Below are 16,045 nucleotides of genomic sequence, written 5' to 3' on the forward strand. Positions count from 1 at the left end.
CCCTGGATTCCTGCAGCAGGGCTGTCCCTGTCCTCCCAGCTCCCCACTCACCAGCATGGCCCAATGCCTCTGGGCCTATTTCCTGTATCTGTACAAGGGGACTGCGTCTGTATATGTTTCAGGGGTTTAGTTGACAGCGTGTATGCCTACAAGTAGAAGCCACTTCGTGAAGTGAGGCCGTCCATCCCACTATCACCTCCACCCCAAGGTGGACCCAATCGCTGCGGGAGCCCTCTGGATCCTAAAGGCCATCGCCTTATTGAACAGCTTAGGGAGTGACCATAAGAGGTGTTTCCACTTTTGCCTTCAAGATGGCAGCCAGAGGTCCAGGAGCTGATCAACCACCTGGAGGGCGTGTCTGCCAGTCAATCCTCTCCTTTAAAGACCAAGGCCAAGGTCACAGAGCCCAAGGAATTCAACCTGACTGCCCCCAGGCCCCGCACCATTCCAGCGCCCGAACCAGTCCCGGTCGTGGCCAAGCCGAGACCCGTGAGTGTGGGCATTCTCAGCAGGCACTGGCTTGCAGGCATCAGGGTAGCCAAGCTGGGAGAGTGGACTGTGTGGGCCTGTGGGGGACTGGGCTCCCCCCAGGGCTGAGGGTGCACTGGACCAGACCAGGAACACTAAATGACCCCACCCCACCCCCACTCCCCACAGAGAGGGAAACCCAGCTGACCCGGAGCCCACCCAGTGGGTTCCCACACTCTACCCACTGTGGTCCTATAAGTAGGTGTTGAGTGGAGCTGTCAGGCCATGGGGCTCCGACCTGTCGGGAGTTGGAGCTTGGAGCCCACTTTTAACTCTGGCGTAATGCAACACCCCCTCCCCGTTAAGTATGATGTGTAGATGACAGCATACTCTTTGGGCAGGCCTAGAGACTCTTCCTCTCTTTCTTTCTCTTCCCACTGCTGACTTATCAGTCAGGATGCTTTGTATTGCAAATAACAGAAAAATGCAGTTCAAACTGGCTTAGAAAATAGAGCACAGGCTGACCCTCATGAGTGAAGTAGGATAGGCTTCAGGCATACGTGACCAGGGTTCCAGCTCTGCTTCTCGTATAGGTGCATGAGAGGACACCTGGGGCCAAGTATTCTTTGGAAAAGTCTGACTGGACCAGCTTAGGTCTCATGCCTGCCTTGAATTGATCACTGTGATCAGGAATATAATGTCCTGACTGGTTACGGGTTCTATCCCAAGCACCAGCAATGGACTGAGCTTCCCAGAACCAACGTGGTTCTGCAACAGGACTAAGGGCTATATGGGAGGGGAAGGGGATGGTGCTGGGAGGCCCCAGAATCCTGCCCCACTCCCACCATCCTTCAGGTCTCATTAAAATCCCTCTTCCCAGAGAGGCTTTTCATGAACCCCTCAAATATGTCAGGTCCTTCACTTAGTTTACTTCTCACTGATCCTGGCTCCTTTTCTTCACCGAATTGGAGTTTAGAGTTGTTTAGTAATTTGTGGGCCTGCCTATTGTCTGCCTATTCCAGCAGACATCATCCATCTTATTTGTCCCATATTCTCTTTTTATTTCATTTTATTATTGTTGTTATTATTATTATTATTATTATTATTATTATTATTATTATTTGAGACAGAGTCTCGCTCTGTCACCCAGGCTGGAGTGCAGTGGCACGATCTTGGCTCACTGCAACCTCTGCCTCCTAGGTTTAAGTGATTCTCCTGCCTCAGCCCCCCGAGTAGCTGGGATTACAGGTACCGGCCACCACACCCGGCTAATTTTTATATTTTTAGTAGAGGTAGGGTTTTGTCATGTTGGCCGGGCTGGTCCCTAACTGACCTCAGGTGATCTGCCCACCTAGGCCTCCCAAAGTGCTGGGATTACAGGCGTAAGCCACCACACCTGGCCATTATTGGTCCCATATTCTCAATGCCTAGCCTAGTCATGGCTCAAAGCAGAACCTCAGTAAATACCAGTTGGATGGATGGATGGGTGGATGGATTATCAGATGGATGGTAGATGGATGGGTGGATGAATGGATGGATGGATGGATGGATGATTGGATTGGTGAATGGATAGATGGATGATTGGATGGAGGAATGAATGGGTGGATGAATGATCAAATGAATGGATGGGTATGTGGGTAAGTGGGTGGATGGATGTCAAATGGATGAAGAGATGATCAGGTGGATGGATGAATGAGTAGATGGATGGGTGGGCGAATGAATGGATGGATGGGTAGATGGATGGATGGTTGGACTCATGGAAGGATAAGTTGATGGATAGATGGATAGTCGGAAGGATGGGTGGGTGGATGGATGGATGGATGATAGATGGTGAATGGATGGATGGATAGATGATCAGATGGGTAGATGGATGAGCAGATGGGTGAGTAGATGGATGGGTGAGTGAATGAATGAATGAGTTGGTAGATAGATGGAGGCATGGAAGGATAAGTGGATGGATAGATGGATGACTGGATGGATGGATGGATGGATGGACACATGGAAGGATAAGTGAATGAATGGATGGATGGATACATGCATGGAAGGATAAGTGGATGGGTGGATGGGTGGATGGATGGATGATTGGATGATTGGATAGATGATCAAATGGTAGGATGGTGGGTGGGTGAGTGAATGGGTGATCAGTTGGATGGATAGATGATCAAATGGATGAATGGATGAGTAGAGGGATGGGTAAGTGAATGAATGGATGGGTGGGTAGATGGATGGATTAATGGATAGATGGATAGATGGATGAACAGATGGGTGGATGGATGATGAGATGAGTTTATGGATGGATGAATGGATGAACACATGGGTGAGTAGATGAATGAGTGGGTGAATGAATGGATGGGTGGGTGGATGGATGGATGGATGGATGGACGGATTGGATGATTGGATGGATGATTAAATTGTTGGATGGGTGGGTGGGTGAGTGAATGGATGATCAGATGGATGGATAGATGATCAAATGGATGAATGGGTGATTAGATGGATGAAAAGATGAGTGGGTAGGTGAATTAATGGATGGATGGGTGGGTGGGTGGATGGATGGATGGATGGATGGATGATTAGATTATGGATAGATAGATGGATGATGACATGGGTGAGTAGATGAATGAGTGGGTGAATGAATGGATGGGTGGATGGATGGATGGATGGATGGATGGATGGATGGATGGATGGATGGATGGCTTCATGGAAGGATAAGTAGATGGATGGATAAGTGGATGAATGGATGGATGGATGGATGGATGATCAGAGGGATGGATAGATGGATAGACAAATGGATGGATGGGTGGGTGAGTGGGTGGATGATCAGATGGATGGATGATTAGATGGAGGTGGCTGATGGATGGATGATCAGAGACCTTGTTGCTGAGCAACCCCACAGTTGCCCCATCTGTATAATCTTCAGCATTTCTGACCCCATCTCCTCAGGGCTCAGTGTGTTTGTCTCAGGTCATGCTGCCAACTTCATCTCTCTCTCTGTCTCTGCCAAGCACAGCCCCTGCCTGGGCCCTCACCATGTCCTCCCATGCTCTATAGCTGTGTGCCTCTCAGTACAATCTGTGAGATGTTTGTGGACATGTACCTTCTCTGCATCCACAGGGTGGCTGTGCTGAAACTATCCTCTACCCTCCCTGCCCTGCCCCATGCCTAAGACATCCTTCTGCTTCAGGGTTGAGGGCCCACTGTAATTCACTCATTCATTATCTCAGACAAAGGAGATAAGACGTGTTGGAGCGGTTGTGATTCTGGATTGTGTGGCCTAGAAAGGCCTCCCGAGAAATGCCATGGAGTAAAAAACCAGAAGTGAGCAAGTCGGCCATGGGGTGTCTCAGAGAACAGCATCCTGGGCAGGAGCAAGGTGCAGGCAAAGGCCCTGGGGCAGTGCCCACCCTCCCTCAAGTGTTTGAGGGTGGCCAGGAGGGGCTGGAGTGGAGTGAGGCAGGGAAGAGGGAAGGCGGGGTACCGGTCTGGTCACACATCCACTGGAGGGAGCAGAGACAGGACACATTGAGGCAGGCTGGCGCCAACACAGGGTCCCTCCAGCTGCCGTGGCCAAGGAGGGCAGTGAGAGGCAGTTCCTGGAGATGGCTTGAAGCAGGTGGGCAGGAGATGGATGTGGGTGTGAGAGACAGAGGTGACAAGGAGGACTCTGAGGCATGGGTGAGGAATGGACAGCGGTCGTGGTCAGTGAGGCTGAGGGAGGGCTCGTTTGAGGAAGATGAGGGTTTGAGGTTTGGACGAGTTGATTTTCCATGACTGTTAGATGTGCAGGGGAGAAGGCATGGAGTTAGGAGGGTAATACAGCAGTCTGGAGCTCAGGGATATCTAGGCCGGCCCCCTCCTGCTCCTTCATGGACACAGCTCCGGCCATATTATCGGAGCCTCCTGTGACTGGACTCGGGGATATGGTGCAGCCGCCCTGGCCTCTGCAGTGTCCCCTCCCGACAGCTTACTTTGCAGGGGTCCGTGATATTCTCCCAGCCTCTCCTGCCCAGGCAGCCATCTTCCGCCTGTCTCCCAGTGTCAAGGGAGCTGGCTGCCTCCCCCTCTTGCTCCTACCCACCCTGGCCATCCCATGCTGGCCGATGGTACGCCCTCAGTACTGCCGGCTCATGTCTTACCCCACCCACCCCATCCCAGGCCAAGCTCCAGACCCCACGCCAATGACCAGCCTGACCTCCTTCCCTTTACTGCCAACGCTGACCCACCAGCACCCGGTGGTGTTAGCTCCAGCCCTGTTTCTCCTCCAATGCAGGCCGCCACCACCCTCCCCTTCACCCACATCCACCAAGCTGTCAGCCCTGGCATTTCTAGGCCCCCTCCCACTCGCAGCTGCTGACCATAGGCTCTTCCTCCCACCACTTCAGCAGGTCCCCCAGAGCACCTACCAGCCACCCAAGGAGCAGCAGCAGCTGGAGACAGTCAAGAGGTACAACCGCCGAAAGGCCGAGGTGAGCTGTGTGCGACCCCTGCCTTCCTAGAGACCCCATATGAGGGATGTGTGAAGGGAAGGTGGGGTGGGGAGAGGGAAGAGGAGGCAAGAGGGGGAGGCTGGGTGGAAGTTCGTCCTCCCATGGCCTGGAGGACACTGGGCAGAGGCTGGTGGGACTGGAGCCGCTGTGTCACTGTGGCAGGAGCTGCTGCTGAGGGCAAACATCGAGGAACTGCGCTGCGCCATGCCCAGGTCCTGCAGGGAGCGAGTGCAGGTACCGCCCAGCTCTCTCAAGACCCATCATCGAGGTGCCATCTTCTCAAGCCATCAGAAAGTTCCTCCCAACGCCATCGCAGTGACCACTTATGTAGCCTTTTCCCACTGAGGGCCGGGGAGGGGCGGATTCCCAGTAGCACTGGGAAAGTGTGCCTTGAGCCCACTGCGATGTGGCCCCTAAGCAGGCGGGTGTAGACGCGCACCCACATCCCCCAGGAGGAAGCTCACGGGAAAGCACCTGCAGGTGCTGCCTCTGGGTATCTCCAGATGTTCCGTGACAAGCATTTCATGTCTCTGTAAGGAAAAAACAAACCCAGGTATGTTTGCCAATAAAGAAAAAGCAAGGTAATGACGACAGGAGAGACTGTGCCTGGCGGGGCTCACTCAGGAGCACGGCCCCGCTGGGTGGCAAGGGTCCCACCATGAGGGCAGGCCCGGGCTGGGCAGCCCATATGGTGCATGCCGCGGGGCTGCAATGACCGAGTGCTCAGAGGGGTGGCCTTTGCAGCCACTCCCCTCACTGCAGCTTGCGGTGCCCACCCTGGGATGTGTTGGCAAAGCAGCTGGCGGCTGGGCCGGGAGCAGACAGGCTCGGGGAGAGGCCATGGGGGCCAGCCAGACCCCAGCTCTGGGGGTGGCTGAGGAGAGGGCCACTGAGCCCTGAGGCCAAGTTGTCCTGACTGGGAAGCACTGTTCCCAGGCCCACAGGCCCTGCACCCTCCCTGTTCCAGCCTGGGTGGAACCACAGCAAGGCTTGGGGGGCATTGGAAGATAGAGACCCTGACCTGGCGTGGTGGTAGGGATGGGCAGCTGGGGGGAGGATGAAGAGGGGTGAGCCAGGCCTCCCCAGGGTGCTGGGCCAGCATCCACCTGGTATGTGTTTGGGGGCACCCAGCAGGCACAGGTGCCAGGCGGCCAGCTCTGCCCTGACTCCTGCAGGGCTCCAAGCAGCAGCTGCGGCTTCAGTTCCCACCCCGAATCCGAAAGACTCCGAAGCTGACCTTCTATAGGGTGAGGGGTGCTCCTGGATGGTCAGGCTGCTCTCCCTGGGCACCCACCCCTCCAGACCTTTTCTGCCCGTAGAGGCTCAGATGACCTGAGCTGGGGGACCTAGAGTCCCAAGGACGGCCCCACCCTGGGGGATAGGGAAGCACCTGGGCAGGGGGCAGGTGTGACGGGCATGAGGGCAGGATGGGCATTTGCTGCTCCCAAGGGTCTCCTCAAGCCCCCACCACAGCCAGTCCCCAATCCCGCAGCCTGACAACATCCTGGTCAAGCTGAACACCACAGCCATCCTGCGAGAAGGGGCCTTGTACCAGCGGCAGGTGGAGCAGGAGCTGCAGAGGTGAAGGGCGGCAGGCCCCCCCACCTGCCTTCCACGGCATCACCCTTGAGAGGAAAGGCTCAGAGGAGGGGCCTGGGGGCTGGGCAGCTCAGTGGAGAGGGACTCGGGGGTCACAACAGGCTGTGGTCCTGCAGCAACAGGGGCGACAAGCAGGACTGTGTCAGGGTCCCAGGTGCATCTTACAAAGATCATGCCGGCTCAGTGAGGGGCATGAATGGGGCTGGAGGGACTTAGCAAAGGCCCAACCCACACCAAACCTCCCTTGGGGTTACCTCCTCCCTGGACCCCTTCCTGATGCCCCCATCTCCTAGACCACCAGGGCTGCAAACCCCTGTGCTTACCCCATGCGGTGTGGTCGTGTCTTTCCTTGTCTGCAAGTCAGGCTGTGGGGGGAGCATGGGTGTCTGACCAGATGGTGGAGTGGACGCACAGATGGTGCACAGGGGCAAGGGTGGCCAGGCTAGCAGAGGACAGAAGGTTGATGGATGGACAGATGATGGACACAGGGTTGGTGGATGGACAGACAGTTGGACAGAGTGAGGGTAGACAAACAAGTGGATGAAGGGAGGGGTGGGTGGATGGGGCTGATGGGTGGACGCACAGAAAGGGGGACCAGGGGATGGGTGGACAGTGGGTCGGGGATAGGAGGAAGGGCAGGCCACGCAGCTGGGTGTCAGGAGTAGCAGCCCACGCCTGCGCAGCCACTGTCCCTCAGGAAAACCTGTGACCACCCAGCAGCCTCTGTCACGGGAGAAACCCCAAGCTGTGCTTCTGTCCCTCTTTGCCCAGGGTTGATAAGCTCGTGGATGGGGCTGGGGACTTCTCTGAGTTCTTCGAGTGGCAGAAGAAGATGCAGGCGAAGGACCGGGAGGAGCAGCTGGCTGCAAGCGAGTGCCGGCGGTTGCAAGGGAAGCTTAGCCATGAGGAGGCCGTCCTAGCCCGGCAGAGCCTCATGCAGGAGAACAAGCAGAGGGTGGAGCAGCAGAAGGAGCAGGTGGGTGCCATGCAGGGCAGCTGGGCATGGGGCAGCCAGCTGAACTGTGTGCCCACCGGGAGCTGCAGGGCCAGGGCTGGCAGTGGAGCTGAGTGTCCACAGCGCCCCCGTAGAAGCTACTGATGTGTTGGTCCTGGCTCCTCTTCCTCCTCGAAGGACACACTGCCTAGGTGGGCACGCTCAGCCTGTGTTCCCCGAGAGTGCCTGCTCCTTCCAGTGGGCCTCACAGTGGCCTGGACCAGCGGGGAGCCTCAGCCCCAGGAGGCCGGCCTGTATACTCTCTCCTGGGACGTATCCCTTTGCAGGCCTGCGGTCAGGGACTTGATCAAAGGTCACTCAGATTGCTTCTTTTGATAGTTTCATCTGTGTCTGTATTCAATTTTAAGGTTTGCCTTTTCTTTCCTTTTTACTTTTTTAAAAAAATATGAAGGCCAGGCCAGGCATGGTGGCTCACACCTATAATCCCAGCACTTTAGGAGGCCAAGGCCAGAAGATCACTTGAGCCTAGGAGTTCAAGATCAGCCTGAGCAACATAGCAAAATCCCGTCTCTGTAAAAAATACAAAAATTAGCCGGGCATGGTGGTGCGTGCCCGTAGTGCCACCTACTCGGGAGGCTGAGGTAGGAGGATCACGTGAGCCTGGAAGGTCAAGGTTGCAGTGAGCCGTGATCATGCCACTGCACTCCATCCTGGGCGACAGAGCGTAACTGTCTCAAAAACAAAACAAACAAACAAAAATGAAGTCTAAACAATATGAAAAGGTAGACTCAGAGAAGTCTCACCTCTTGTAAGTCTATAACTTACAACCCATTTCCACCTTCCTTTGTTGGTCCTTCCTTTCATTAATTTCTGGATTACCTTTCCCGTCTTTCGAAGCAAATAACACACTTGTATATACATAGTTTGTCCTTCCCTTTTTTGTTACATAAAAGGTCACACCTTGCTTTATCTGCAAAGAATAATGTGCAAGACTTTCACCTTTGCAGAGCTGGATTTTCAGGGTAAACTTCTAGAGGAAGTTATATTTCCAGATGTCACACCAAAGAGTAACTGGATACGCAGGAGTCCTTGCCGTTTGGGACGCGTGGTTTTACTAAATATGGCCAATCGTCTCCCTGGTACTTTTACCATCTTCACTCCACCAAAGTGTGAGAGGGGTCTGATCCGCATGCCCCGCCACAGAGTGTACCAGGCTGAATTCGTGAATTTGTGCCAATTTCATGGGTCAGAAATAGTATCTTGGTATAGTTCTGATTTGCATCTCATTTATTTATCAGTGAATTTGAGCAAATGTCCACATATACATATATAAATGATTTGTGTCTATTTCTGTGAACCGTCTGTCCATGTCTTTTGTCCATTTTCTATTGCACTTTTGACCTTCATTTCCCTGACTTTTTTTTTTTTTTTGGTTCTTTATTTATTTAACTTGACAAATGCAATTGAATATATTTGTGATATATAACATGATTTTTTTTTTTTTTTAAGATGGAAGCTTGCTCTGTCGCCCAGGCTGGAGTGCGGTGGTGTGATCTCAGCTCACTGCAACTTCCGCCTCCCGGGTTCAAGTGATTCTCCTGCCTCAGTCTCCTGAGTAGCTGGGACTACAGGCGAGCACCACCATGCATGGCTAATTTTTGTTTTTTGGTTTTTGGTTTTTTTTTCTTTTTGAGACAGAGTCTTGCTCTGTCGCCCGGGCTGGAGTGCAGTGGCATGATCATGGCTCACTGCAACCTCCACCTCCTGGGTTTAAGAAATTCTCTGCCTCAGCCTCCTGAATAGCTGGTATTATAGGCGCATGCCACAATGCCCAGCTATTTCTTTTTTTGTATTTGTAGTAGAGATGAGGTTTCACCATCTTGGTCAAGCTGGTCTTGAACTCCTGGCCTCGTGATCCACCCACCTCGGCCTCCCAAATTGCTGGGATTACAGGCATGAGCCACCGTGCCCGGCCTACTTTTTGTATTTTTAGTAGAGATGGGTTTTCACTGTGTTGGCCAGGCTGGTCTCAAACTCCTGACCTCAAGTGATCCACCTGTCTCAGCCTCCCAAAGTGCTGGGATTACAGGTGGAAGCCACCACGCCCGGCCTAACATGATCTTTTGGAATACAAATACATTGTGGAATGGCTAAATCAAGCTAATTAACATATGCATTATCTCACATACTTATTCCTGGTAAGAACACTTACAATCTACTCTCTTAGCAATTTTTCTTTTTTTGTTGTTTTTTTTCTTTTTTTTTTTTGTTTTTTTTTTTTTTTGGTTTTTGTTTTGTTTTTGTTTTTGTTTTTGAGACAGAGTCTCACTCTGTCACCCAGGCTGGAGTGCAGTGGGTTGATCTCAGCTCAGTGCAACCTCTGCCTCCCAGGGTCAGGCGGTTATCCTGCCTCAGCCTCCTGCGTAGCCGGGACCACAGATGCACACCACCATGTCTGGATAATTTTTGTATTTTTAGTAGAGACAAGGTTTCACCATGTTGGCCAGGCTGGTCTCAAACTCCTGACCTCAAGTGATCTGCCCACTTCAGCCTCCCAAAGTGCTGGGATTACAGGTGTGAGCCACCATGCCCGGCCACAGTTTTTCTTTTTTGAGACAGGGTCTCACTCTGTCGCCCAGGCTGGAGCGCAGTGGCATGATCTTGGCTCACTGCAACCTCTGCCTCTCAGGCTCAAACCATCCTCCCATCTCAGCCTCCCAAGCAGGTGAAACTGCAGGCGTGCACCACCTTTTTAGGAGAGACACAGTTTCGCCATGTTGCCCAGGCTGGTCTCTAACTCCGGGGCTCAAGTGATTCACCTGCCTCAGTCTCCCAAAATACTGGGATTACGGAAATGCGCCTCTGCGCCCAGCCTAATGTTCTTTATATGTTAGGAAAAATAATCCTTTATAATAGATTGTTGCAGATTGCTTTTTTTCCAGTTTGTCATTTGACTTTGTATATGAGGTTTATGATGGGTGTTTGCCATGCAAATATTCTTTTTATGTCTTCAAATTTAACAGTCTTTTCTTGTGTTGTGTTTGGAGTTAGAAAATGCCACTCTTGGCTGGGTGTGGTGGCTCACGCCTGTAATCTCAGCACTTTGGGAGGCCAAAGCAGGGCGATCACCTGAGGTCAGGCATTCAAGACCAGCCTGGCCAACATGGTGAAACCCCATGTCTACTAAAAAAACAAACAAACAAACAAACAAAAATTAGCTGGGTGTGGTGGCACACCCACGTAATCCCACCAACTCAGGAGGCTGAGGCATGAGAATCGCTTGAACCCAGGAGGTGGAGGTTGCAGTGAGCCAACATCATGCTATTGCATTCCAGCTTGGGTGACAGAGTGAGACCGTCTCAAATAAAAAAAAGAAAATGCCGCTCTCCTCACACCAGGTTACACAGGGATTCTCAGTCTTCTCTACTGGTCTAAGGATGTCTAGCTACATGCATTCATGTGACTAATATTTTTTCTTACTAAATTAACTAGATTAGGTGGCACTAAATATTTGAAGTAAAAAGAATTTTAGTTTTTCTTATGCAGTTCATATTGGAGTGATTGCTTTTACAGCCTCAATGTGTTTTAATGAACTATAACTTTTGTTTCTGCTTGAGGTCCTAGTACCACAACCCGACGCATGGGCACCCTTTCATCTCCTCCTCTGAACTTTGGGCACTGCTCAAGAGCCTTTGGAAGCATCTTTTCCATTGAGAGGAGAGATGTTTGGGGTCTACCTGAATGTTCTCTGCTTAAGACACAGACTCAGTTATTCTCCAAGGAACCTCTGTGCCTCATAGAAGCCAGTATTGAGTTCCCTATCTGGGTGCTTTTCTGTTTTTTTCAACAGTTACCAGGTTTTTTTTGTTTTGTTTTATTTTATTTTTTTGGGAGATGCGGTTTTGCCATGTTGGCCAGGCTGGTCTCAAACTCCCAGCCTTATGTGATCCACCTGCCTCGACCTCCCAAAGTGCTGGAATTATAGGCATAAGCCACCATGCCTGGCCTACAGTCACCAGTTTTAAAGTACTCTAGCAATGGGGCTGGAAAGGATATATTTTAAAATTATGGCTGGATGCGGTGGCTCACACCTGTAGTCACGGCACTTTGGGAGGCCAAGGCAGCTAGATCACTTGAACCCAGGAGTTCGAGACCAGCTTGAACAACATAGTGAGACCCCGCGTCTACAAAAAAAATGTTTGTTTGTTTTTGAGACGGAGTTTCACTCTTGTTGCCTAGGCTGGAGTGCAATGGTGCGATCTCGGCTCACCACAACCTCTGCCTCCTGGGGTCAAGCTATTCTACTGCCTCAGCCTCCTGAGTAGCTGGGATTACAGGCATGCACCATCATGCCTGGCTAATTTTGTGTTTTTAGTAGAGATGGAGTTTCTCCATGTTGGTCAGGCTGGTCTCGAACTCCCGATCTCAGGTGATCTGCCTGCCTCGGCCTCCCAAAGTGCTGGGATTACAGGCATGAGCCACCGCGCCCGGCCAATAACTTGTTTTTTAATCTGTTATCACTGTGAAATTAACCCAGAATAGCTGTACTAGTGTCAACACTCAACTCCTGGGTGAGGAATGACATTTCATGTTTTGGATGTCATGGGTAATCATTCTTTGAATACTTTTTTTTTTTTTTTTTTTTGAGATCGGGTCTTGCTCTGTCTCCCAGGCTGGAATGCAGTGGCACAATCATGGCTCCCTGCAACCTCAAACTCCTGGACTCAAATGATCCTCCCACCTCAGCCTCCTGAGTAGCTGGGACCACAGGCAGGAGCCACCGGGCCTGGCTAGTTTTGTATTTTCTGTAGAGACGGGGTCTCACTATGTTGGTCTCAAACTCCTGAGCTCAAGCAATCCTCCCCCCTCAGCTTCCCCACGCGCTGGGATTACAAGCGTGAGCCGCTGCAGCTGGCCCTGAGTACATTTTACCAAAGTCTTCAGGCAGATTGTTTCATCAAGCAGCACTTGCATCTTTTTTCCACTTGATTCTGGCCACAGAAATGCTGTTCCATGTGTTCTACCTTCATTTTAATTTTGAAGGTGCCAGTGCAGGTAACTGAAAGTTCGGACTTGGTGCGAGCTCAGCGAGCAGCCAGTGCGAGCCATGCTCTGTGGCAGGAAGGAGGAGGGGATGTGTGGGAAACCTGGTGGGATGTCCACAGCAGGGCCCAAGGATGCATGTGGCTGCCCCTGGCCCCTGAGTGACGGCAGGCAGGACCGTGGGTCCAAGGTTGATGTCTGAGTGGAGCCAGCCAGGCATGTGACCCTGGACTCAGGCCCTCAGGCTGATCTCTCTGCTGCTTACTGCCTGGAAACCCTCTCCTTACTGTGAGCCTGGCCAGGTGACCACACACTCATCGCTTGCCAAACACCTATCCCTGTCCACTGCTCCCGGCCTGTGGCCCTCTTTTCCTTCTTCCCCTGCTCATTCCTCTGTGCCGACTCCCTATTCCGTGCCGAGGCTGGTGCTGTGGCTGATGGGGACACTCTTTCCTGAGCCCTTGCTAGGTGTTGGCCCTGCACCCAGTGCACCTGAGGAGGTGGGCGTGGCCATCTTCATTTCCCCACAAAGAAACTGAAACCCAGAGAGGCCCGAGACTTGTCCGCTGCCAGGGAGCTGCCAGGGTGGCAGAGGCAGAACTTAGCATCCTGTGTGTCTTACTCCCAAGCGGGAGCCTTTTCTGTGGACTGCTGCTGCCTCCCTGATTCCACGTTCCCAAAGAGCCAGGAGGCACCGCCGCCCTCTTCTGCACTCCCGGCCTGAGGCGCCCAGCCGTCTCCCTGTGCCATGGTCTGACGCTGTGGCTGCGCGGGGAGGGCCGGTGTGGACGCCTCTTTTCTCTCTTTGCTCATTGTCTGGTTGACTGAGACGGGAATCTTGGTATTTTTTGGTGCCCACTTTCTTCACCTCATATTTCTACACAACGTATTACCAAGTTTTTAAAGAAACTTTTAAAGTAATTTTTTAATTTCAGAACAATTTTTAAATTTACAGAAAAGCCGTAAATATAGAACAGGGTATTCCACGTCCCCCCTACCCCGGGCCCCCTACCCTGGTTCCCTCCACTGTGAACAGCCTACGTTGCTACTGGGTGCACTGGGTCTCTAGGGCTACTACAGCAAAGTACCACAAACTGGGTGGCTTCAGATGCAGGAAGGTTCCCCCCAAGACCACACTGGGAGGAAGGGAGAGGACATGAGGTGGAAGTTCCCCGCAGGCCCAACTTCCAGAGCACCGCCAGGAGTGAATGGGCTTAGACCTGGGTTCTGGGGTGATTCAAGGGCAGGGACTGGGTCCACCTTCAGACCTCATGCTGCGCCCTGGGCTGGGGCGGGACCAGGCAGGGAAGCCGGAGCAGCCCCACTCACCGTGGCAGGTCCGCTGTCTGGGCAGATGGCCAAGCTGATGCTGCAGCGTGCAGAGAGACGGCTCCGGGAGGACAGGTCCAGGAAGGAGCTGGTGGAGCAGGTGATAGAGGGGCAGAAGAACGCCAAGGCGGCCCAGACGAAGCTCGCGAAGGGCCGACAGCAGACAGGTAGTCAGGAGCCAGATGTCACTGGCCCTACCCCGCTCTTCCCCACTCGGGTGCTGGGCTGCCACCCTTTCCTGAGTGAGCCACTATGGCTGTCCAGGGTCAGGGACCCCTTGAGGGAGGCACTCCCAGGTGGCCGCACTGAGGCCAGAGTCCTGGCTGGGGAACCCTGGGGGAGGTGCCTTCCTGTCCAGCCCCTGCCCTGCCACCCACCAGCCACCTCAGCTCCTGGCTTGGCCCCCAAGTTCAGGAGGCGATCGAGGAGAGCAGGGGGCTGCTGCAGCGCAGGGCGCAGGCAGCCCAGGAGGAGCAGCGGCGCCGTTGTGAACTCATCTCCCAGCTGCGCGCACTCGAGACACAGCCCACGCGCAAGGGCAAGCTCGTGGACCTGACCCAGGTGAGGATGCAGTCCTGGACGGGCCCATGCCTCAGGGGCCTCCACGCTGGCACTGCCATGAGAGGCAGTTTCCAGGGTTCCCACCAGAGCCACAGGTGGGTCTTGCACCACCTGAAACCTGGCCCGCCACCCTCCGTGACTCAACACCCATGTGCCGCGGGCCTGGGTCTGGCCCTAAGAGTTCACAAGCCTGCGGGCAAGGCACACACTTAGCCAGTCCTCTATAACTCCTGGGGGTGGCCAAGGTGGGCTTCACAGAGGAGGCCACTTAGGAGCTGCCTGTTGAGGGAGGGCCAGGGTGGAAAGGGCAGTGTAGGGAGAGCGCAGGTGTTTTCAAAGGCTGGATGGAGGCTGCATGGAGCAGGAGGTTGAGGAGGGCCTGCCGGAAGCCCGTGTGAGAAGGCATGATGAGGGGCCAGGCCTCAGAGGAGTGCGGGGAGCCAGCTGCAGGGCCTGGCCCAGCCCCGAGGCCATGGGGAGTGCAAACGGCTGTCTGCCCCAGGCCCCGAAGCCTGGCTGGGGAGATAGTCATGAGCTCCATTTGGGACTTGCCACAGTGGAGGGGCCTCAGTCCAGCTGAGATGTGCAGACCCACACAAGGTGTAGTGTTGCAGAGCGGAGCCCAGGCTGGAGAGGCTGGGGGCATGTTTCATAAGCAGTGTTGAAGCAGAGGGAAGGTGGGCAAGGGGTGGGCCTATGGAACAGGGGAGGGATCCTGGTGGGAAGCATCGGGGCCCAGCACAGCTCCCAGCTTGGGGCCTCCCCTACCACCCCACAGATCCCCGGCTACGGCCTGGAAGGAGAGATGTCCATAGTGGAGCTGCGAGAGCGGCTGGCCCTGCTCAAAGAGAATCAGCGGCGCAAGGAGGAAGAAAAGCGGGATCAAATCATTCAGGGCAAGCACACCAAGAGCCAGGAACTGCAGAACATGGTGGAGCAGATCTCGCTGTGCCGTGCAGCCATGGGGAGATCCGCAGCCTTGAGGTTGGTACTGGGCTCGGGGAGGGTGCCTCTGGGTGGACAGGGAGCATGCTGTAAGCCTGCCTTGCACCCTCCTGGGTGGGTCTCCTAGAAACAACCACCACCCTCCTGCCCAGGAAGTTCCCTTGCCGTAACTCCCCTGACCCCTATTATTGTAGTAGGTGACTTCCAGGCACATGGGAATGGTGCAAAATTCTGCATCCATGGCTCAGAAGCCATGACCCAGATGCAGTCATTTTTGCACCCAGCTCATGGGTCCAACCTTTCACCATATGTGCTTCACGTAGCCAGCTAGCTATTTATGTCTGCAGAAGCATTAGGAAGTAGTTGCAGGAATCAGACACTTTAAACACTTCAGCATACATCTTCTAAAAAAATAGATCGTCCTACATAAACCACAGCACCCTGACACCAATAGAAAATGGAACAAAAATTCCCAACATCACCTAAATATCTCATCTTTTTTCACATTTCCCCAGGTGTCCAAAGACTGTTGGCCAACTGTTTTTTGTTTTTGTTTTTGTTTTTTGAGACAGAGTCTTGCTCTGTCACCAGGCTGGAGTGCAGTGGCGCAATCTCAGCTCACTGCAACCTCTGCCTCCCAGGTTCAAGCCTCAGCCTCCCA

General features: G+C 53.5%; 1 protein-coding gene across 2 annotated transcripts in view; it reads left to right on the forward strand.

Annotated features, from left to right (window-relative positions):
- CFAP99 (cilia and flagella associated protein 99) overlaps nt 1-16,045 on the forward strand; it is a 44,048-nt gene that overhangs the window by 25,865 nt on the left and 2,138 nt on the right. For both annotated transcript variants that reach the window (NM_001193282.4, XM_047415685.1), the window contains exons 6-14: nt 312-489; nt 4,851-4,931; nt 5,115-5,186; nt 6,128-6,199; nt 6,445-6,533; nt 7,323-7,527; nt 13,904-14,045; nt 14,288-14,439; nt 15,218-15,423. In NM_001193282.4, coding sequence (NP_001180211.2) covers nt 312-489; nt 4,851-4,931; nt 5,115-5,186; nt 6,128-6,199; nt 6,445-6,533; nt 7,323-7,527; nt 13,904-14,045; nt 14,288-14,439; nt 15,218-15,423 — 1,197 coding nt within the window. The remainder of the gene's footprint in view (nt 1-311; nt 490-4,850; nt 4,932-5,114; nt 5,187-6,127; nt 6,200-6,444; nt 6,534-7,322; nt 7,528-13,903; nt 14,046-14,287; nt 14,440-15,217; nt 15,424-16,045) is intronic.

Source organism: Homo sapiens, chromosome 4, assembly GCF_000001405.40.
Source record: "Homo sapiens chromosome 4, GRCh38.p14 Primary Assembly".
In the NCBI taxonomy this organism is placed as follows: Eukaryota; Metazoa; Chordata; class Mammalia; order Primates; family Hominidae; genus Homo; species Homo sapiens.